The sequence below is a fragment of the Homo sapiens genome, chromosome 5 (assembly GCF_000001405.40).
Source record: "Homo sapiens chromosome 5, GRCh38.p14 Primary Assembly".
Taxonomy (NCBI): domain Eukaryota; kingdom Metazoa; phylum Chordata; class Mammalia; order Primates; family Hominidae; genus Homo; species Homo sapiens.
Genome location: NC_000005.10, coordinates 156307168 through 156330446, shown reverse-complemented (window position 1 = coordinate 156330446; position 23279 = coordinate 156307168). Strand labels below are relative to the sequence as shown.

The 23279-nt window shown below is 37.7% G+C and overlaps 1 protein-coding gene and 1 long non-coding RNA gene across 10 annotated transcripts in view; one reads left to right on the top strand and one right to left on the bottom strand.

Moving 5' to 3' along the window:
- Window positions 1-23279, bottom strand: part of SGCD (sarcoglycan delta) — a 1039957-nt gene that overhangs the window by 437342 nt on the left and 579336 nt on the right. For 3 of the 9 annotated variants that reach the window (NM_000337.6, NM_172244.3, XM_005265967.3), the window contains exons 1-2: window positions 3215-3283; window positions 868-913 (exon numbers count right to left, since the gene is read on the bottom strand). The exons of 1 other annotated variant lie outside the window; for it this stretch is intronic. In NM_000337.6, the coding sequence (NP_000328.2) occupies window positions 868-870 (3 nt within the window). In that variant the 5' untranslated portion in view covers window positions 871-913; window positions 3215-3283. Of the gene's footprint in view, window positions 1-867; window positions 914-1306; window positions 1609-3214; window positions 3284-23279 lie in introns of those variants that run through there. 5 more of the 9 variants (XM_047417519.1, XM_047417518.1, XM_017009724.2 and 2 more) reach the window with 3 other exon arrangements.
- The window catches only part of LOC124901120 (uncharacterized), an 85782-nt gene that overhangs the window by 45823 nt on the left and 16680 nt on the right, over window positions 1-23279 (top strand). The gene's annotated exons all lie outside the window — the stretch shown is intronic.

Below are 23279 nucleotides of genomic sequence, written 5' to 3'. Positions count from 1 at the left end.
AGATCATCTTACAGATAGGAAACCTGAGATCTGAAGATGAATGGAGCCAGGACCTGACCTAAGATTTCTGACCACCTCTACCTTTCCTCCCTCTCTCAACCCCACTTCTGCCCCCAGTACCAGCACGTTCGTCAGACGTGGCTTAGGAAACTATCCAAGATGCTTGAAACCAGAAGTGTTTCTGACTTCAGATTTTTTTGGATTTTTGGAATATTTGCATTATACTTACCATTCAGCATTCCAAATCTGAAAATCCGAAATCAGAAACGTTCCAATAAATAATTCCTTTGAGCATCATGTCAGTGCTCAAAAAGTTTCAAATTTTGAAACATTTCAGAGTTCAGATTTTTGGATTTGGGAAGCTCAACACATGTACAACCAACGATGTAGTATGTGCCCTTGGAGATTTTTTTTTTTTTTTTTTTTTTTTGAGACTGAATCTTGCTCTGTCGCCCAGGCTGGAGTGCAGTGGCGCCATCTTGGCTCACTGCAAGCTCCACCTTCCGGGTTCACGCCATTCTCCTGCATCAGCCTCCCGAGTAGCTGGGACTACGGGCGCCCACCACCATGTCCGGCTAATTTTTGGTATTTTTAGTATAGATGGGATTTCACCGTGTTAGCCAGGATGGTCTCCATCTCCTGACCTCGTGATCCACCTGCCTCGGCCTCCCAAAGTGCTGGGATTACAGGCGTGAGCCACCGTGCCTGGCCTGCAGATTTTTTAAAATAAAAAAGTAAAATTAAAGAAATGTCTTCATCAGGATAAGGCATATATAACACTTTGTTCTCTTTTTCAAAAGTTTATGTTAATAATAAAATGACCATGAGCAGGGCCTTGAACAAGCTTCGCTCCCGGGAATTACTCACCATCTCCACCTGGTCCCTTCACTCAACACTCCCGGCAGTAATGTCTCTGCAAGGAACAAATATGGGTTAAAAATAAGGTCTGAAGAGCCTGCCCCCTCCTTGCCTAGGAAATCTGAACCCTCAGGCAATGCCATTCTTACAAAATGTGCTTTCTGATTACTTCCAGAAGGCAGGGCAGGCTGACCATGCAGTCTCCTGTGGTGAAGTGGCTAAAACAATTCTCTTCACCAAGGCCACTGAGTATCTGCACACCTCCAGTCCAACAAATCAGTGCCTGGTGGCTTTGGCTATTTCTAATACATGTGTTTCATTCCTGTGCCAAGGGCTCCTCCCTCCACCCTCACTGCCCAGTTTGTGTTGTGGCCATTCCTCTCCCTTCACTGCCTCCACCTCTGTCCTGGATTTCTTCCTCTGTATCCTTCCCCCTTCCGCTGCTTACTTTTTCTCTTCAGATGTCAAGAGAGCTTGACTTCTCCCTACTTTACTTCTAAAAAAGAGAGAAACTATAGAGTTTCTACCAAGTTTCAAGCACTGCTCTTTATAATCCTGCAACCTGGAGTTGCTATTTCACGCCTCTTCTGCTCAATGCTTGACGCACGCTAAATATAGAGGAGTATGACACCCGAGCTCATGGAAGGCTCCCTTTTTCATTGGCAGTGGGCTTGACTACGGTTCATGCCAGTTCCTAATCTGTCTTGGCATTTTTCTCACTCATTAGGCACTTTAGAGAAAAAAATAAGGTCACAGTCCATCCTGACTTCTAACTACACCCCCTTCCTTTCCTCAAGCCCTGCAGTCCCCAAACCCTCCCCACACCACCCCAACACGAAGATGAAACTAATAAAGAAAATGTTCATGAACCATCTCTTAAAGATATCCTGCTGCCAGTCCTGTCCCAGGTCCCTCCTCCAAGTACAACACTTGGAAGAAAAAAGAAAATCGCTGGCTGAAAATCCTGACCTTCTACCAACAGGACAGAATGTGTGCCTTCTCATTCTAGGTCTTATGCAGAGGAAGCAATGAGAAATGCTGGCTCTCCACTTTTCTTTCAGCATTAACTTCAGGCTCTTCTATTAGCTACTTGTTTAAAGATTGTAGGACACAAGTAAATGCACACCTGTTGTCACAGAGATCCACCCTAAGAGGTCTAGTCACTCTTCAGCTACTCAAGAAGTATCCAAGATTCCATTCATTCATCCATCTCCCCAACCAGACTTTTGGCCAAGCCCCGTTCGGAAAAAACCAATGTTGTCACAGATTGCTGTGCTAGTAATTGTAAAGCAGTTGTAAGGTTTAGCTCGGCTTTGGGCTGAACCAGTCTCTCAAATGCAATGACATTGTACTGTGTGTTTTCTAAATGCTGTACATAAAACAAGGTATAGCTTTCCTATGAGAGGAAAAAATCTATACTGCAATAGAGTTGATAAAGAAGAACCAAAACTGAAGAGGAACACTAAGATCCCTGTTGTGCTGAAAATTTTTAAAACTTTGATTTTTATAAAAAGCTCTTTTGCAGTAAGGTGTAAAATAAAACCAAGAGATCAATGAAATAAAATTCACACCATCATGTCTCTGTCCTTTAAGAAGAATTTTGAGTAAACTGCCATTTTCTGTTACTTTTTTATTATCTATGTTTCCTAAAATACAGAAGTGTTTTTTGAGAGTAAAACTGCAAATTACTTCAAGTGAGAAAATTGGAAATGATTATAGAAACAGAATTACAAATGTTGATCCAGCATAATTCTAGGCAAATATATCACTGACAGTCAAATCCCAGATAATGACAGTCAAACTCCTATATAAAAGATTTTAGAAACCCATACACACATATCTGTTTCGACACTCTGAAAGTGTCATCCAACGTAGAAACTTCAAACTCTGATTCCCTCCTAAAATGAGAGCCATTTTCTACTATTAAAAAACAACAACAACAAAAAACTCCCCATTAAAACTCTTGCGAAGTGAAGCAAAACACACAGACAGTTTCATCTGAAATTATCTTCCTTGCCAGTGAACGGCCCTTCCACGCAGAAAGGAAAAGTTACAGATGGTTGGAGCAGGGTGACAACATAAGGAATTCACATACTCCTCTTTACACAATAACGTTGCCAGCTAAATCCTAACTTTCAAAAGAAGTCTCTCTGCCCTGCTGAAAATCAGACCTTAAAGGGGGAAAAGCACAGATTGGAGCCCCATGCCAACTGTTTACATGACGGAGTTCTAACTTGCTAATTCACACACACACACATGCACACACTAAAAACTCGGAGTGCCTGCAAATACAGCAGGCAGATAGCTTAGAAAGTGAACAGACGCGTGCAAACGCAAGAACTGAACAGTACCCTACCTCTCTTGTCCGTTTCACAAACCGGCCGATGAAAACCGCCCGCGATCCCAGGGCGTGCTGAGCAGCTCTGAAGGAGGTGGCCACTCGGCCCGCTGAGTGTGTGCAGGCCCAGCCTGCGCTCAGAAGCTGCCCCAGTCAGATTTTCCAACTGCAGAACTGCAGCCAAGTCCCTGCCCATGCCTGAAGAATTTCCTGAACAGCATTCCCGTTCTTTTTCTGACTGCTTTGAAACCGTACTCCGTACTTCAATATGGCTTTGTCAGACCGACTCACAGCTACTGGGCTGTCTCCAGCTATCAATGGGAAACACATGTGTCAAGCACAGGCCGACTCCCCTGCAACAGCGCTCATGGTGTCTGCCGGGCTCATACTCACAACCAGAAAGAAAACTGCTTCTACAACCAATTCTGATTTTTCAGCCATTCTCCACACAGCCTCTGCTCTGTAGTGCTAGATGCTGGAGATAAGTCCTCTCTTTCTTCTGCTCAACACTGCTCCTTTTTCACTTGCTCCTTACACTTGAGTCCCCAGCTGACCCCTGTCAGCCCCCTGAGCTCTTGCCAGTCCTGATAACAAGCTTATTACAGCTGAGAGATGTAAATTCTAATTTGATCTCCCTACCTGCCGCTTCCTAAATCTTTGCTCAAAATTTCAATTGCTTGAGGGGGAGCAATATTTTTAGCATTTCCACACTGGTACAGTTCTTCGGAGCTGTCCCCTCAACCTGATATGTACATTTTTTGCTGCAGCAACTAAAAATAATGCAATTATTTTTCAGGCACTTTTGTTGCTCTCTGTTCTGCAACAGTGCTGGTCCAAAAATGTAACATTTTATAGGCTGTTGGAATGTGTGTTATGGTTATGGAAAATAGAAAAGAGAAAAGAATGTACTTTGAATCAGAATGCGTCCTAATTCTGTGCACCTGTGATTATTTCTGGATGACACTCCCTCAAGATGCCCTGTGTACATTCTGCTGGATTTGATGCTCTACCTTTGACATTTTCCCTTTCCATGCAACAAGAGGAAACCTCAAAACAGGAGGACACCCCTCTTCTCCCACACTGAAAAACCCCCATATCTAAAGAGCCAGAGCAAAGTTGTCAAGGTAACATTGTAGAAAAGAGGTGATTTAAAGAGAGAGGAGCATTTGTTTTGAACTGTTTCTTTTTTCTGTTTTTGGTATTAACATTTTACTTCCAAAAATCACACCCCATTGGCAACTTATTCTAAAGAACTGGCTTGCCAGATTTTAAGTGTTGTATGTTCTTGAGGGGATGTTGTAAGTAATAGGATTCGGTGGGGTCGTGAGTTTAGCATCAAATTACACTGGGCACTTTGAGCAGGATTAGATTTTCGCCTTGGGAAGCAGTGGGGTGGGAGGCGGTGTGGGGAGGTGTGTGTGCACATCTAAGGTCAAGATGCAATTACAGAATCAGATCTTTGGAGTTGGAGACACCCCAGAGATCATCCAATCCAAATTGTTTCCACCCTTCATTTTACAGAGGGAAGTAGAGGCCCAGACAAATGAGATGACTTGTCCAGGGTTTTAAAGACAGTTAATACCAGAGCTGAAGCTAGAAATGGGATTGGTGCTCTCTTTTTCTATCTGCTTTCTCTACTGCAGCATAATTTGGGAAGGTGATATCATCTAGCCTTCTAATCAGATAGCCTGGGTCTAATCTTAGCTCTGCATCTTACTGACTATAAACCCTGGTCAGCTTGCTTAACCTCTCTCGATCTGTTTCCTCATCTGTGAAATGGGAACCATAATAGAATCTACTGGTAGAATTGTTAAGGATTCAGTGAGATAATCTGTGTAAAGTGTTTATGACTGCCTATAAATACATTTCAGTTTACTTTTTTTTTTAATGGAGCAAAATGCAAACCTTTTCTCTAACCTAAAAGCCAAATTGTACTCTCCCATCTAGTGTGAGTTCTAGAATAAAGTATTTGAGTGGCTAGTTTTCTGCTGCTTTAACTTTATGTAATAGGGGCCTGTCACCTTAAACTTGGAGAACTGTCCTGAAGCCTTATTGGAACATTAAGCCAGCTATACCGCTACTTTCCATTTATTCCCTAAATATAACACTGAAGTCTTTCCTTGAGATTAACTCACAGAAAAGAAAAACAGTGAGATCAAATCTGCAGTCAGTTACATGAGGCTGAACAAAGTGTCATTCCAGAGAACTGGGCTTTATACCTTAAGAGCTCAAAATTATCATTCTATAAATAGAAGACTATTAACAATTACAATGTTCATGTTTGGAAATGGCAACGTCCTAAATTAACAATAATAGCAAAATAAAATCCCACAAGTTGAGGAAGAAATCTTTCAGAGAAAATAGCTGCTGCAAATTCTAAAGAATCAGACTTCTACGTGGGGTTCCACAGTCTTTGAGAGCCAGTGGTAGCAAATTGCTAATGAACCGCTTATTGTTTATTATTCACGTTTTATGCCCTGCTTCTTTTCAGGGAAAAAAAAAAAGAAGTTTTAAATAGTTGAAGAAGTTAATCTTGAATGTTCTGGTAATCAATTTAAAAAAAACTCAAGCTGATACTCAGCCCTAATCAAACAATGCTGATATGATTCACGAGACCCTGCCCTCATGTCTCCCCAAAGACTTGTTATGTGGCTCATTTCAATGTGGGCATCTGGAGAGATCTCAGTTTGAGACCCAGCTTTATAACTGCTAGCTAGAAAATCCTGAAAACATACTTAATTCTTCTAATGTTAAGAAATGTTATGCAAAACTTGAAAAATATAGCCAAAAGGTAGTCTTTTTTTTTTCAATATCATATGCGGGAATTGTTTCACAGGCCCTCTCAAGAAGTATTTAAGGGGAATGTCATTTGTTGAAGATAGTTTGCTATTGAAAAACATTTCCAGATTTATTACAGGTACATGTTAACTTGGAGACTTTTATCTGATAAAGATGCAAATAATTTCTTTCCAGTAGAGAAAATAACCTCAAATGTGATGATTTGTTGCCCTCCAGGACATTACCAGTCTTGTACCTAATGTAGTCTCTGCTAGCATCCCTTTGTTAACAAACCTATAAATAATGAGCTCCTCAAATGTTCTTGGAACCAGTCTTACCATCACACCAATTCCCCCACTAATTAAGGAGTCAAGTAAAATATCTGACATATCTGCTTTTCATATTTATATGTCATGTTTTTAACTTTTTAAAAAGTATAATTTGACAGTTTTATTCTTTCCACCTATATGAGTGTTATGAGGATTACGTGAAATAATGTGTGATAATCACTTAGCGAAATGCATGGCACACAGTAAATGCTCAAACTATGTAGGCACTGCTAGTATTTAATACGATAGGACTGTACTCGGTTCTCACTTTTGCAAAGGACTCCTCATCAGTCTCCTTCCTATTACACCTTTTTATTCTTACCATTAGATTCCTGAATCCCCTCTGCAATGGCTGTGCCTGCTGGAATCCTTCCATACATGGTGACCTCTTTGCTTCTCACAGACTTCCACTTTTAATGTTCTAAAATTACAACTAAAATATGTCTCCCTATCACATATTCTATGGTTGCTAATCACAGAAGTCGGTTAAAAATTATGATACTGAAGATCATATGAACCAGAAAACTTCAATCTTCACTTGAATATAAGCTCCATGCGGGCAAGGATTTTTGTCTACTTCATTTTCTGCCATTTTTCCAATGTCTAGGATGGGTATATAGTAGACCCTCATTTTTACCCATTGAATAAATAACATCTTTTGACTTACTTGAAAACTGAGATTCCTACATTATCCTTTTCAAAGGATATTTTTACTGTAGATTAAACATATCTGGAGCTACTCGACCATTTCTCTCCATCGTGTTTCAGATTCCCTTTGTCACCTGATTGGCTTTTTTCCTGGGAATATTTCAGTTTCCTTAATTTCCTCCTTGAGTGTGGTGCTGAGAAGTGAACAAACTTTGCAGGTACACTGGATCTAACGCAAAGAGAGGAGGAACAACTCCTTCTCTCATTCAGAAGCTATACTTCTATTGATGCAATCCATGAACATATTAGGTTTGGAGGTAGTAACCTGGAGTCATAGTGAGTCATGTCAGCTTGGACCACTCTATGACAGGTGCTAGTATTAACCTCATCTCCCACAACATTTATGTCGATGATGTTCAGGCCTAGATTTATATTAGAATCACCTGGGGTAGCTTTTAAGCTGACTAGAGCCAGGGTCCCACCCCAGAGGTTTTGATTCTATTAGAATCAGATGGCCACCAGGCAACAGTATTTTTTAATCCCCTCAGATGATTCCAATGTGAGCCAGACTTAAGATTACTAAGTTACAGGATCTTTTAAAACATAAATCTGATTGCACAACTCTTTGACCTCAAATCTTTAAATGGCTGACCATTGCCTAAAAGGGAACAGCAGCAACCCTCAACTGGTCTGTCACACACTTCTTTAGCCTCATCTGCTGCCACTCCCTCATTCTTCTAATCCTTCAAATAAATCATGTATCTTTCCACTTTAGGAGATTGAAGAAAAGCTGTTCTCACCTTCTGGACAGATATTACTGTTTCCTAGAAATTGCCTGTGTTCATGCAGTTATCTCTTATTCAGCCTTTAAATGTAACCTCCATTATCACTTCCTCTAGAATTTATTTCTCCCTGAACCCTGAGACCCAACAGTCCCCTGTTATATAAGCCTATAGACTAGCACTTATTTTAGTTGTATATACATATTTGTATTTTTATCTGATTCATGTCAATCTTTCCTGAGAGACAATGTTCTCCATGAGGGCAGAGACCCAGCCTGCTTTCCCCAGGTTGTGTCTTACTCCTTACACCATGCCTAGCTTGTAGGAAGTACACAATAGATATTTTTAAGTAAGTAAATGCAGGTTTAAAAAAAAAATCCAAGTACAGGAACATGCATATAACCCAACTTTCTATATCTTGACTTTTTAGATCTCATTTACTCTTTCTGACCTGTTAAAATATTGTATTGTACTAGGAAACCAACTTGTCTCATAAGATGTAAACAATCTCAAAAACTAATAAGCCATTCGTACATTTATCCAAAAGACTTGTGAGAAATTACCGAGTCAGTTGTCAGGCAAAATCTGTAAGGCCTGAAATACAAGCTAGGCTGTGAATATAGGGAGTGTGGTCTGTTGTGCCACTGACTTGGGGTGGAGGGTGGGGTAGTCTGATGTAACACAGTAAGGTCATACAGAGAGGGCCACAGAGCAGTTACAGCAAAAGCCTGAAAAGAGGCGTTCATCGGGACCCTTATGGTTACAGCAGATGGAACTCATTCAAATTAGCCTAAGGAAAAAAGAGGATGGGGGGAGAGATGTACTCAATCATAAAACTGTAAAGCCAAGAAGTGGATGTGAAGGCAGGACTGGGAGTAACAGTTGAAATGTAATCAAGACTCTATCTCCCTCTTCTTCTCTAGGCTTCACCCACAGTTTTGCTCTCTCCTTTGGGTGGTAAGACACCCATTGGTAGTCACATGCTCACTTTCCCTGGGAAAATAGATATTTTCCAGATTGAGCCACATGCTCATCCATGTGACCAGGAGAATGGTGTCCTCATGTTGATCCTATTTGGCTCCTATAACAACCCTGGAGGCAAAAAGAAAGGGTCACCTCCATCTTACCAGAATGGCTGTGTAGGGTTATTAGGAAATTGAGAAAAGGTGGTGGGTAGATTAAAGTATCAGGTGGATTATGGATGACAAAATACCAAAGACTCACTTCAGCATCGTGCCCAGAGAAGGTTTTTTATTTATTTGTTTATTTATTTATTTATTTGTTTATTTATTTTCAGTCGGAGTCTCGCTCTGTCACCCAGGCTGGAGTGCAGTGGTGCGATCTCGGCTCACTGCAAGCTCCACTTCTCGGGTTCACACCATTCTCTGGCCTCAGCCTCCCGAGTAGCTGGGACTACAGGCGCCCACCACCATGCCTGGCTAATTTTTTTGTATTTTTAGTAGAGATGGGGTTTCACCATGTTAGCCAGGATGGTCTCGATCTTCTGACCTCCTGATCCACCCACCTTGGTCTCCCAAAGTGCTGGGATTACAGGCGTGAGCCACTGCGCCCAGCCGTTTTTGTTTTTGTTTTTGTTTTTAATTTGTTTTTTAGAAATATTATGAGGCAATATTTAGGCAAAGGATAGAAACCGTATTTATTTATTCTATGAAAGCCCAAAACAGTTGAGTTAGACTTAAACTAATGGCAGATGATTAGGGCAGTAGCACGATGCCAGCCTTTCATTTGAGAGTTCATTTCATAAATAATACCTGATGGGAAGTGACACTCACTCTGCTCTGGCTCTTCAAAACAGAGTAAATCCAATGCTATTTTTCCATGGCCAAGGGCAAAATTATCTGACTGACTTTGAAGAGACATTTCTGTGGAATGAATCTGGACCAGGAAGTTTGGCTCAGTGACAAAACAGTGACCCAAACATTTTGAGAATATCTCTATTGGCCAGACACAGCGTCTAAGCTGAAGTCATCTTCTGTTTCGGAAATTCAAATATATACATGGTACACAATGAGGGATTCTCAAACTAAGTCATTACTTTCAGAAGGAACTCATACATTTGAAAATTAATTTAGTGTGATTAGTAATGAAATGTATTGCAAACATACCTTTTTAAAAGAAATTAATTAAAGAGCACAAAGCAAATACTGATAGAGCTGAATAGATGGCTCCATGTATTCTGTTTCTTTTCAGTGAAAAACACTGACCAATTCTTTTAACGTTCTTTCTGGTCCATAATTTCTTATTGCATTATAGCTTCTTATAAGTAAGCTCTTGAAATATCACATTTTTATTTGGAAATAAAATTTATTGATCAATAAAAGGAAGCTAGACTACATGATAGGCACTCCATAGTTACTGGCAGAAATAAATAAGACCTGTGCTTAAAAAATGCATAGCATCACTCATCTTTATTTTTGCAATCATATCAGTGCTCAGTGGTACAAGACACAACTGATGGGTGCAGGAATTCCAAGCTAATGGTAAACTTCTTGAATGAGGAGTGCTGGTTAATACTAAAGACCAAGCCTCAAAATCCAACCCTAAAACCCAACAATTGTACACACACACACACACACACACACACACACACACACATATCAAAGGCTGTCAAAGACAAATAATTCATCATTATACATTTCAAATGATTTATCTTTATAAGGGGTTTATTAGATATGTGAAAGAGACATAATTGAGCAAATCCACAACTAGCACAGTGGCTGGCACATAGTAGTTGCTTCATAAATATTATTTCACTAATAATGAACATTGCTAGTAATTCCTGATATCCTTTCCGCAATGGATTGCAGAGAAAATAACTTTATATAATTTTAAATCTCTCAACTGGTGAGCTGTAGCGTATTCTGATGTAAAAGGAAATAATATGTCATCAAGTCCAACCTTTTCATTACTTGTATGAGACAACTGAAAACTGAAAAGAAGACGTGATATGGTCAAAATCACACAGATAGGTAATAGAGGAATTGGGCAAAAGATTCCCATTTTCTGATACCTAGCTGCCTCGTAGGGCAAAGATTGTGATTCTAGGAGATGATTCACTGTATCACCTCTTCACTCACTATGGGAAATTACTGCTGGGGCTTCACTTCCTAAAATACAATTTGTGTTTCAAGATGCATTATCTGGTTACCTACTTCTCTCCTTACTTCTTCTTAAGCAATGAGGAAGTCCTTTTTAGCATTCCTAAGTGGTAAGTGAATAAACACTAAATGTAAATAGATAAGGCTATTAAAAAATTAAAATATGAGTCCAAAAACAGAATGTTATTCCAAGTTAAAGGCAGGCAAAAATGGTCTCATTTGCCTTTAACCCTGCACTTAACAGATCAAGTGCTCATTAAATATCTGCTGGAATGAATTGAAGAAAAACATTCCTGTATTTTCAGTGGATTGTAGGGTTTAATGGTAAGGGATTTTCCCCAAGGCTTCCAGTTTGATCAACTTCAACACAGTTTTAACATCCTGAGCCTCATCTCTCATAATTAGCAGAAACTGTTAGAAGCAACAGACTGGGCCAGTCTGGCTGAGCTGCATTATATCGTATCTTAGGATGGAGTGCTGATGTAATAGATACAAAGAAATATATTTCATGTAAAATGCACATAGGGGCTTTATTGGCATGCCCTGATTCTCCCCGCCAAAAAGCAGAAAGAAATTGACAAAAACAGAAATAAAAAGCATAAAGAGACAGATTGGCTACTTGATGAGCATATCAGACTCCAACTCAACTATGCTGGCACATCTAACGAAAGAATGTGCCATTTAAGAGGTCATCCAAGAGGCCAAATGCGGTGACTCATGCCTGTAATCCCAGCACTTTGGGAGGCCAAGGCAGGCGGATCACCTGAGGTCAGGAGTTCGAGACCAGCCTGGCCAACGTGGTGAAACCCCATTTCTACTAAAAATACAAAACTGAGCCAGGCGAGGGGGCACACAACTGTAATCCCAGCTACTCAGGATGCTGAGGCAGGAGAATCACTTGAACCCGAGAGGTAGAGGTTGCAGTGAGCCAAGATCACTCCACTTCACTCCATCCAGCCTAGGTGACAGAGTGAGACTTTGTCTCAAAAAAAAAAAAAAAAGAGGTCATTCATGGATGCATAGAAGGAATGAGAGCCATAAAAAAGTACGAAGAGTTCATTCAAGCACTGAATAAAGGAGTCTTAGCCAATGAACTCTCCTCATATTTAGTGAGTGGTTGGTCTGTTCCAGGGATTGGAGATATGATAGATACAAAACAGGGTCCTTATCCTCAAGGTACTTACAAGACTTTGTGGGGAGGACTTTCACTGTCTCTAGTACCACTGACAAAATTATACCTGTTGGGCTGACTTAGCCTGCTGCCATTAAAGAATCCTTTTTATCTAACTCTCCTTTTTCTGAGTTTAAATGCATTAATTATCCTTTTCATTATGTTCCTTCTTGTTGCATAGATCTTCTTAGAGGAAGAGAAGATTTAGCTATTCCTATGCATGTGATACTATTTCTCATGCTAAATTTAAAAATTTGTATTTCTAATTTAGACATCAATCTCATGAAGTTGGTTAATGTGTGAGTCTATCATTGAGAGATAGAACCTCTCTTGCTGAGTTGATAGAATCAGCTTTCTAAGTCTCTTCACTGAACTTGTGAAAGACATTCTGTGAGAACTCCAAGGAAAGAGACTTGCTCATAAATAACTACTATAATATCTTCAAATTCCCAGACATAGCATATAGAATAATGAATTGGCAAGGGTTTACAGTTAGATAAATGGGTCAATTCTCTACCCATGCCATTTGTCACATTTATAAGAGATCATGGGTGTTGAGCCACTTCATTCATCCTCTCTCACTAAGATCTTATCGTACATCAGTATTTTATCCTAAAGAAACACTTTAATATTCTATTATTACAAGAGCCACAGCAGTACTTGAGCTCAACGTAAAAGATGAAGTCAAACATCATTTTGTAGTGACATGATTAGTATCAACACAATTTCTGCTTTTTAAGAGCAAAATCAAAACACAGAACATTTCCACACTGAAAAACTATATTTGGGGTTTTGGAAAGATTTTTGGAGTTCACTGCATTTCAACACATCATGTGAATACTTTATGTAATTTTGAAACTATAGCCTTTTAGTTTTAACACCATTAACCTGAAGGTATTCTTAACCTTCAGTTATGGAAAACTGTGTAAGGCAAAACTTTTGAAATTGCGATCATGTTTGTGATTTGTAGAAGTTAGAATTTCTTGGCTCTAGTGTGGAATTTGGCAGTCTGGATTATTGTCTTCTTCATCAGAAGATCCTGTTATTAAACTGTCTTATCCCTGAGTTCTCCTCTGTAAAGTAGAACAGCAGCCATCTCCTATGGTTGTGCAAGGCCTTAACAAAATAATCTCAGTAAAAGTGGCTCTTATATACATAACCATACCTAACATGCATCGAGTGCTTATTGTGCTCTTACATACCAAATCTTCAAATATTAGCAGATATTACTAAATTATCTATTTTGTGAGCCACCCCATTAGTTGATATTTAAATAGATTCAGAATAGGTACGCTTTGGTAGCAAGTGTTTACACTCAAAGCCAACCAAATTCTACCCTTATTTTTGCCATTTTCCAGTGACTTAATTATCACAATTAATTCTTATGATTTAGAGGGTACATTTACAGACCAGACTCATTGTTGTAACTCTAGATAGCAAAACTATGTCATTCTAGTTTATTTCCTAAGTAAGAAAACAATGTTCAATAACAATTCTTCAATGGATCCTCTCTTAAAACTAATTGAATCCAGGCCTCTATTATCAATCATCTGGGTTGGACAATCATTTACTGTCTCTGCCTCCAATCTCCCTCATTCAGCCCTTTGACAATGTACTCTTTAATCTTTAGACAGTGTAGGTTTCACTCTTAGTTCCCATCTCTCACAGGATAAAGTCTGAACTTTCCAATATCATTTATTGAAGAGACTATCCTTTCTCCATTATGTAATCTTGGCATCTTTGTTAAAAAATAGTTGACCACACATCATACAGATGAGTTTATTCCTGGGCTCACTATTCTGTTCCATGTGGCTTATGTGTCTGTGTTTATGCAAGTATCATACTGTTTTGATTACAATATCTTTACAATATAATTTGAAATCAGGGAGTGTGCTGCCTCCAACTTTGTTCTGCTTGCTCAAGATTGTTTTAGTTATTTGAGGTCTTTTGTGATTCCTATTATTTTTGTGTTTTCCTATTCCTATAAAAAATACCATTGAAATTTTGGTAGGGATTGAATTTAATCTGTAAATTACTCTGGGTAATATGGACATTTTGACAATATTAATTCTTCCAATTTATGAACATAGGCTATTTTCTATTTAATTATGTCTTCTTCAATTTCATTCGCCAATGTTTTATAGTTTTCAGTGTATAGATATTGCACTTTCTTGGTTAAATTTATTTCTAGTTATATTTTTGATGCTAGGGAACTGTTTTTCTGATTCCTATTTTGGGAAGTTTGCTATAGTGTAGAGAAACTCATCTGATTTTTGTATGTTGACTTTGCATCCTATAACTTTATGAAATTCATTTATTAGTTCTAGCAGTTTTTTTGATGAAGTCTTCAGGGCTTTCTACGTATAAGTTAATACACTCCTCAAACAGAGACAGTTCTACTTCTTCCTTTCTGATTTGGATGACTTTTATGTTTTTTCTTCCTTAATTGCTCTGGCTAGAAAACCATATATTTGATAAGGGGTTAATATCCAAAATATTTAAGAACTCATAAAACTTGGTAAGAAAAAATCTGAATAAAAATGGGCAAAGATATGAATATTTTCCCAAAGACATACAAATGGCTAACAGGGACATGAAAACATACTCAAAGTCATTAATCATCAGGGATATCCAAACCAAAAGCACAATGAGTTATCTCACATCTGTTAGGATGGCTACTATCAAAAAGACAAAAAATATATATATGCATTGGCAAGGATGTACAGAAAAGAGAACCCTTGCATATTGCTGATGGGAAAGTAAATTGGTATGATCATTATTAAAAACAGCATGGGAATTCCTAAAAAATATATAAATAGAACTATCATATGATCCAATAAACTCACTTGTGTGTATACATCCAAAGGAAAAATCACTATCTTGAAGAGATGCTTACCCTCCCATGTTCTTTGCAGCATTATTCATAATAGTCACAAAATGAAAATGACTTGAGCATCCATCAACCAATGAGTGGTTAAAGAAAATGTGATTGATACACACAGTACAATACTGTTCAGCCTTAAAAACAAGGTAAATCCTGCTGCCATTTGTGACAACCTGGATAAATCTGAAGGATATTGTGTTAAGTGAAATAAGCCAGACACAGAAAGACAAATACTGCATGATTCTACTTATATGTGGAATCTAAAAAAAAAAAATCAGACTCAAAGTAACAGAGAGTAGAATGGTGGTTACAAGGGGGTGGTAGGTAGGGTATAAGGAGAGATATTGGTGAAAGAGTACAAATAATCCCATACAAAATGAATAGGTATTGGAGACTTAATGGACAACATGGTAACTGTAATTAATAATAATGCTTTCTGTCCTTGGAATTTGCTAAGAGAGATTTCAAGTGTACCCACCACACAAACAGAAAAAATGGTAACTATGTGAGGTAATGGCTATGTTAATTAGATTGATTGTGGTGATTATTTCTCAACATATACATACATCAAATCATTACATTGCACACTTTAAATATCTACCATATTTAATTGTCAATCATCTCAATGAAGCTAGGGGAAAAAGTAATGTAACTGAAAAAAATCCGTAGTCTTACTAATATGAATTATAAAGCACTGAATGGAATGCACCTTATGCCTCCTGTATAACTGCTGAAGGAAATAGCTGACAGGTCCCTTCTTCCACAAGACTTCTCTTCCCTCTCTTCCCTCTTTACCCAGTTCTATGTTAAGTCCTCTGCTATGTTCTCTACCAAAATCTTATGATTTTCCTTTCATACTACTTGCCATTATTTATTGTTGTCACTTAGTTTATCTGAATGTACAGCTAGACTGTCAGCTCTTGAGAACAATGCACAGTGTCTGTTCTGTTCATCTGTGTTCACCAACGCCTAGCATACTGCCTAGGCTGGAGTAGACACTATAATAATTGTTAGATGATGGAATAAAAGATGGAGAGAAGACCAGAAAACTGTACCCAAAATGATGGTATTGGTAATTATAATACTAGTAGAATAGACAGTTTAATATAATGCAATGTCTATATTATAGTTAATTTTGACTCATAAATCTTAATCTTAAATTTTGTATTTACTTTATGCCCTGCCTAAATACCTAAAGTGCTTACCAACCAATGCAGCTTACATCTAAATTTTATTATCAGGTTTAGTCTTTATAGACTAAGTTTCACAAGACAGAAAATGTTTAAACAGCTATACTGATTAGTATAGCCTCGAACATCACATCCTTAACGTTCAACTGGAATAAACCTCACCAATACAGTGACCCTCCTATAGATTTGGCCTTTTGTTTATGTTTCATTAATTTTATATTTTTGACTAAACTGGCTTTTTCCCTAAGCACTCTTTGCTCTTTATTGTGTGTAACTATAGGGATCATGAACCATCTTATCACAGATTCAATGATCATGGAATTGCAATTTCTGAAGATTTTCAGGAATTGTGGGCTAAGATTTTCAGGACGTATAAAAAGGTGATAATAGAAAAGATACCCAAATACTTAATTGAAAAAAAGTAGATGTCACGGCCTGTGCTGCATTTTTATGCATATTTTCAGGAAGCTAAAATGAACAGCATTTTTACAAATTCCAGAGTAAATTACACATTAGTAGCGAAATCTAAAATTCCAATTGTGGAGTCTACATTCAAGAAGGAATAAATTGTTAATGGCATTGACTTAATGGAGATACCTACCACTTCAGCAGACTATGATCCTAGTACCCTAAAATGTTATGAACCAACAAACTAGCCATTTAAGTAACAAACTCCTTCAGCTATTAAGACTCAGATAGCTTTACTACCTTAAATCAGATTTCCCACAGACATTCGGAGGTACTTAGATTTATTTCAGGAGACTTTACCCTTATGGATATAATGTTTTGTGGTTAGAATTGGAGAAGATGCACAGGCTGTCTTTATCAGCATAATATTTACATATAACCATAGCAGCCAACATTTACTAAGTACTCACTGTGTACTAGCTGCTTTAATGACAGTATCTCTCTTTACCTCACACACACAAAATCAAAAAATGATGTTGACAACTACTTCCAGAGAAAAAGCAGAAAAAATAAAGAAATAGAAAACAAAAAAAGGTGAGAAATCAAGTACAAATTATGTACAACTTTAAAATTCTCTTTTAAATCTGAATCTTTTAAAATTTAAGAGAAATGTCTTCACAGCTTTTAAGATGAAAGATACAGGCTTTTTTTTTACCATATGAAACTTCAAGCACTGTGAATCATTAACTCATCATTATTTGTTAAATGGATGTGATGTCAGTCAACAAATTCTCAAGGAAGACAAGAAGGCAGAGGGAAAAGAAGAAAGAGGAGGCAAATAAAAGCATGCTTAAGCCATGAGGGACAAAGCTAGATTTCCACAGTTCTGAGACAGATGGCTTAGAGAAGATGAGAGAAGAAAGAAAATCAGAAAACAAAACAAAACAAATATGGATTGAAAGAGAAGTACTGTCAAGGGCTTTGTAAACAAATTAAGCTCAAAGTTAGTTAAAAAATAAACGAATAGTCATCTATCCAGTGTCTGTAAGAAATAGGGAGCTGAGACAATTTTCTTATGGGGCTGGTTAAGTGAGTGCAGTGAGTAAGATAATGATCCTAATTCCAACTAATTTTCTTAAGAGCTAACACTTCACCTGGAACCATGTTAAATGCTTTTCATGTATTACTTAATCTTTATAAAAATTCTACGAGTTAGGAGTTAGAATTATCCCCATTTTATAAATGAGGAAACTGAGGTACAGAGAGGTTACATAGCTGCCCCAAATCACATAGTGGAATAGTGGGTAAGAGATAAAGATGGGATCCAACTCAAGCCTGTCTGATGATAAAGTCTGTGTCCTTAATTGCTATGCTAAACTGCTTCTCATTGCTATTAATGAATATGCAATTGAAGCAGAGTGGTGTCATGATTTAATATTTTATATGAGTAATAGACTAATGTAATTTTAATAGCACTTTGTAATTTATAAAATGTATTCACACACACAGTGTTTCACTTGGGTTTTAGAATCCCTATGTGGTAGCTAAGGATTACCTTTTTCTAAGTATATCAGTAAAGAAATTTATGTTCAAGGAAGTGACATTCAAGGTCACAAAATAAATGTCAGTATGGTAGAAGGGAAAAAGCTGGATCTATGTATCTGAGAACTGTGGCCCTGCCACTCAATAAATAAATGTTTTGGGACCAAAAAATTTCCTTTCTGACTAGTGTCTACACCTGAAAAATGGAGACAGAATTCTAACTTCTCAGAGTCTTTGTGAGAATAAAACCACCTAACCTACATGAGTACCTTTGGTACGTGTAGGCATGCAACAAGTGCAAATTTCCTTTGCCTTCCTGTGATACTGGGTATCTCAGAAACAGCCCTGGAATAGGGGTCAGAAGATCTGTTTTCTTTTCCTACTCATGCCCTTAGCTAGCTATGGCATGGAACTGTTACTTTACATTCATTTGTAACTATAGGTCAATACACTGGCTCTCAAGAAAAAAATAAAAAATATAAAAGCTCTGTTTGTAGCATTTGCTAACTTCAAATAACTAACATGATGTCAGCAAACATGGAGCAGAGAAGAAATAAGCTCATTTTGTTTCCATCAGTGGGTAAGAGCTGGGTCTAGCACACCACTAAGTAAAACTATGATATTAGGTGAGTGTTTTCCAAACTTTTTATGAAAGAAAAAAAGATTTTTCAACTGATGTTGACATTGTATAGAACTTAAATACAGAAACCCAATATGATTAGAACTCTGCTGGTAGAGGAGGGTAATGGAGCACAGAGCCCTGCCCTAACCCCAGCTCCTCCCCTCCTCTGTGTAGATCCCTAAGACATTGCTGAAGAACATATTCAAGTAGGTCATATCTTAAGGTCTTTATAAGACTCTTATTCTAAGATACTGTATTCTATGATTGTATAAGACTTTTTTATTTGATAATTTTTAAAACAGATTTACTTCTATATATGCATATCATTTTAGTAAACCAATTAGATTTCTAACCAATGCAATATAGAAAAAATTAAGGATATTAAAAAGCCATAGTCTCCTTGCTAATTGTGTGCCTAATCAAATGACCACTCCTGTTCGGGGTCAATAACCACACTATCTCATGGTGACATTGAGTCTTTCATAGCATATCTATGGCTAGGATTGCAAAACTTCATATGAAATGACAGATTTTAAGACAGCAGGGAATCTAGTCTCAAGCAGGGAGTGGTAAAATAGCAGGTGTCAGAGAATTGGAGAGAAAGGAAAACATTTCTTAGAAAAACCATTTTATAGTTGGTAAAAACCACTTTATACAAAACATTTTTTTCATCTTGAATTTCATCCACCTTTAACACAACTCTGTTTATTCACCTCTTAAACTCACCAAGTTTCTTCCAATGTTAGGCTTTCACAGATGCTGTTCCCTCTAACTAGAAATTTTTACTGCTCCTCTTTACCTGGTTGACACTACAAGACACTTCTGGGAAGCTTCCTCTCTTGCCACTCACTAGCATGTCCCCTGGTATGCTTTCCAAACCCTGTACTCCTCTGTAGAATTACAAGTCATTAGTTTTGTGACTGTTTTATATGTTTGTCTCTTACCAGGGAAGTGAAATTTCATGAAAGCAAGAATATTGTCTCTCTCTCTCTCTTTTATTTTTGAACACTGGATTGCATAGTAAGTGTCTGAAACATATCAAGCACTCAAATAATCTGTTCATTCATTCACACAAAAATAAATAGAGAAAGATGATTATGGGAAGATGGTAAGGTAAGAAGCACCAGAAATCTTTCTCCTCAACTAGACAATAATTTCACTGAAAGAATCTGCCTGATGTAATTATTTTGGAGTCTACTAAAGGCTTGCTATTTCCAGGGGAGGGTTGAACAGTAAACTGTGGTTAATTTTGGTCAATTTCAGCTCTTAACACAGTAGCAGCTACCCATCCCCTGACTACTCAGCACACTGGCGGGATGTTCATGGAGTAGCTTGCACATAGCTTTCAGGAGCCAGGACCGGCAAAAAGGAGCCTGTCTTCCAAATATCAAGAAGTCTGTGTTCTGACTATCATCACAGAGATGCAGACAAAAAGACAGCAGCAACTGTTGCACAACCCTCCAGTGTTGCAAGCTCTTCCTCCTCTGACAAAAGTGACTTCCAAGGGATGTAAAAGACCAGTGCCTCGCCACCAACTTTATATTTCTTTTTATTTTCGTACTATTGGGAGTCAAGCATTAAAGACTAGGATATTCAAATTCAAAAGCAACTGCATGTATGGGAGGATATAGAAAGTCATTATGCATGCCCAGGTAAATTTGCAGGCTCAGAAAAGACTTAAAAAGACCTTAAGTTGACACCTTATGCTAATTCTGGGTACAAAAATAGCCTGTAATAATTAAAGCAAAACAATAACAAGGCAGCAAACCCTGAGGAAGAGAATCTGATTTCCAGATTTTCCTCATTATTAGATTCAAATGTTCATTTTTCAACAAAAAATTATACGACATACAATGAAACAGGGAAGTGTGGCCCATTTGAAAGAAAGAAAAACAACAACAACAACAGAAAATATCACTAAAAAAAAGACCTGATGGCAGATCTACTAAACAAAGACTTTAAAACAACTGTCTTAAAGATGCTCAAAGATCGGGTGGGGCGTGGTGGCTCACACCTATAATCCCAGCACTTTGGGAGGCCGAGGCAGGTGGATCATGAGGTCAGGAGTTCAAGACCAGTCTGACCAACATAGTGAAACCCCGTGAGCCAAGATCACGCCACTGCATTCCAGCCCAGGCGACAGTGCGAGACTCTGTCTCAAAAAAAAAAAAAAAAATGCTCAAAGATCTAAAGGAAGATGTAATGAAAGTCAAGGAAATTATGTATGAACAAAATAGAAATATTAATAAAAATACAGAAAACTTAAAAAGAAGCCAAAATAAAATTCTGAAACTGAAATGTATAATACCTGAAATGAAAAATTCACTAGAGAATTTAAAACGCAGATTTAAGCAAGCAGAAGAAAGAATCAGCAATTTTGAAGAAAATATAGCAATAGACTTTACCAATAAAAATGATCAAGTCTGAGGCACAGAAAGAAAAAATAATTGAAGAAATGTCAACAGAACCTAAGGGATCTGTGGGACATCTTCAAGCAGATAAATATATGCATCATTTTCTAGATGGAAAAAAGAGAGAGAACAGGGCAGAAAACATACTTGAAGAAATAGTGGCTGAAAACTTCCCAAATTTGATGAAAAACATTAATATAAACATTCATGAAGCTCAACGAACCCAAGGAGATAACCTCAAAGGACACACACAGAGAAATTACAATCAAACTGTCAAAAGCCAAAGGCAAAGAGAATTTTGAATGCAGCAATAGAGAGGTAATGTGCCACATACAAGGGATTCTCAATAAATTTATTAGCAACTTTCTCATCAAAAGTTAGTGGGCGGATACATTCAAAGTGCTAAAATAAAAAAAAATACTGTTACCTAAGTATGTAATATTTTACAAATCTGCCATTTAAAAGTGAGAAAAAAAATTAAAATTTCCCCAGATAAAGAAAAGCTGAGCAATTTCATTATCACTAGACCAGCTCTGTGAAAAATATAAAAGGGAATTCTGCAAGCTGAAATGAAAGGACACTGAAGGCCTACAATATGGTTCAGTTCTGTGTCTCCATGCAAATCTCATCTCAAATTGTAATCCCCCCATGTCAGGTGAGGGACCTGGTGGGAGGTGATGGGATCATGGGTGTGGATTTTCCCCATGCTGTTCTCTTGATAGTGAGTGACTTCTCATGACAGCTGATTGTTTAAAAGTATGGCACTTCTGGCCAGGTGCGGTGGCTCATGCCCGTAATCCTAGCACTTTGGGACGCCAAGGCAGGTGGATCACATGGTCAGGAGATCGAGACCATCCTGGCTAACACGGTGAAACCCCATCTCTACTAAAAATACAAAAAATTAGCCAGGCGTAGTGGCAGACACCTGTAGTCCCAGCTACTCGGGAGGCTGAGGCAGCAGAATGGCGTGAACCCGGGAGGCGGAGCTTTCAGTGAGCCGAGATTGCGCCACTGCAATCCAGCCTGGGTGACAGGGCGAGACTCCGTCTCAAAAAAAAAAAAAAAAGTATGGCACTTCCCCCTTTGCTCTCTTTCTCTCCTGCCACCATGTAAGACATGCCTTGCTTTCCCTTTGCCCTCCGCCACGATTGTAAGTTTTCTGAGACCTCCCCATCCATGCAGAACTGTGAGTCAATTAAACCTCTTTTCGTTTTGAATTACTCAGTCTCAAGTAGTTCTTTATAGCAGGCTGAAAATGGACTAATACAGCATATAAAGAAATAAAGTTCTTAATAAAGGTAAATACAAGGGAAATTAGGAAAGTTGGTACTATTGTAAAAATGGTGTGTAACTTCATTTTTTGTTTCCTACATGATTTAGGAAAATAATATATTTTTTTAAAAAATTAGTATAAAAGCTAGTGTTATTGTAACATTTGTTTTTCACTCCACATTTTTATATAGTTTAATAGACTAACGCATTAAAAGATTATCAGTTTATGTTTCTTAAACACACAAAGTGAAAATATATAATTTTGTTACATCAACAACTGAAAGAGTGGGGGCAGAACTGTTAAAGCAGCAGACTTGTTTGTGTTATTGAAGTTAACCTGATATAAATTAAAATAGGAATGTTATAATATTAAGAGGTTAAATGTAATTCCCATGGTAACTATAAACAAAATAGTTAAAGAATAACATGAAATGAGAAAGAAATCTAAGTATGGTTTCACTATTTTTAAAAAATCAGTTAAACACAAAACGAGACACAAATTCAGGTAATAAGGCAAAAAAAAAAAAAAAAAAAAAAAACAACAGTTAAAATGTATACAGACAAGAAGAATCAAAATGACCAAAGTATCTGCTTATCAGCAATTACTTGAAATGTAAATGATTTAAATTCTCTAATAAAAAAGACAGAGATTGGCAGAATGGATTTAAATATGTGATCTAATGTTATGCTGTCTGATTTACACATTTGACATTCAAAGACACAAATACGTTGACATTTTAAAGATAGAAAATTTGCTAGGTGCAGTGGCTCACATCTGTGCAGCACTTTAGGAGGCCAAGGTGGATGGATCACTTGAGCCCAAGTTCAAGACTAGCCTAGGCAACATGGTCAAAGTCTGTCTCCACAAAAAGTACAAAAAATAATTTTAGCTGGGCATGTTGGTGCACACTTATAGTCCCAGCTACT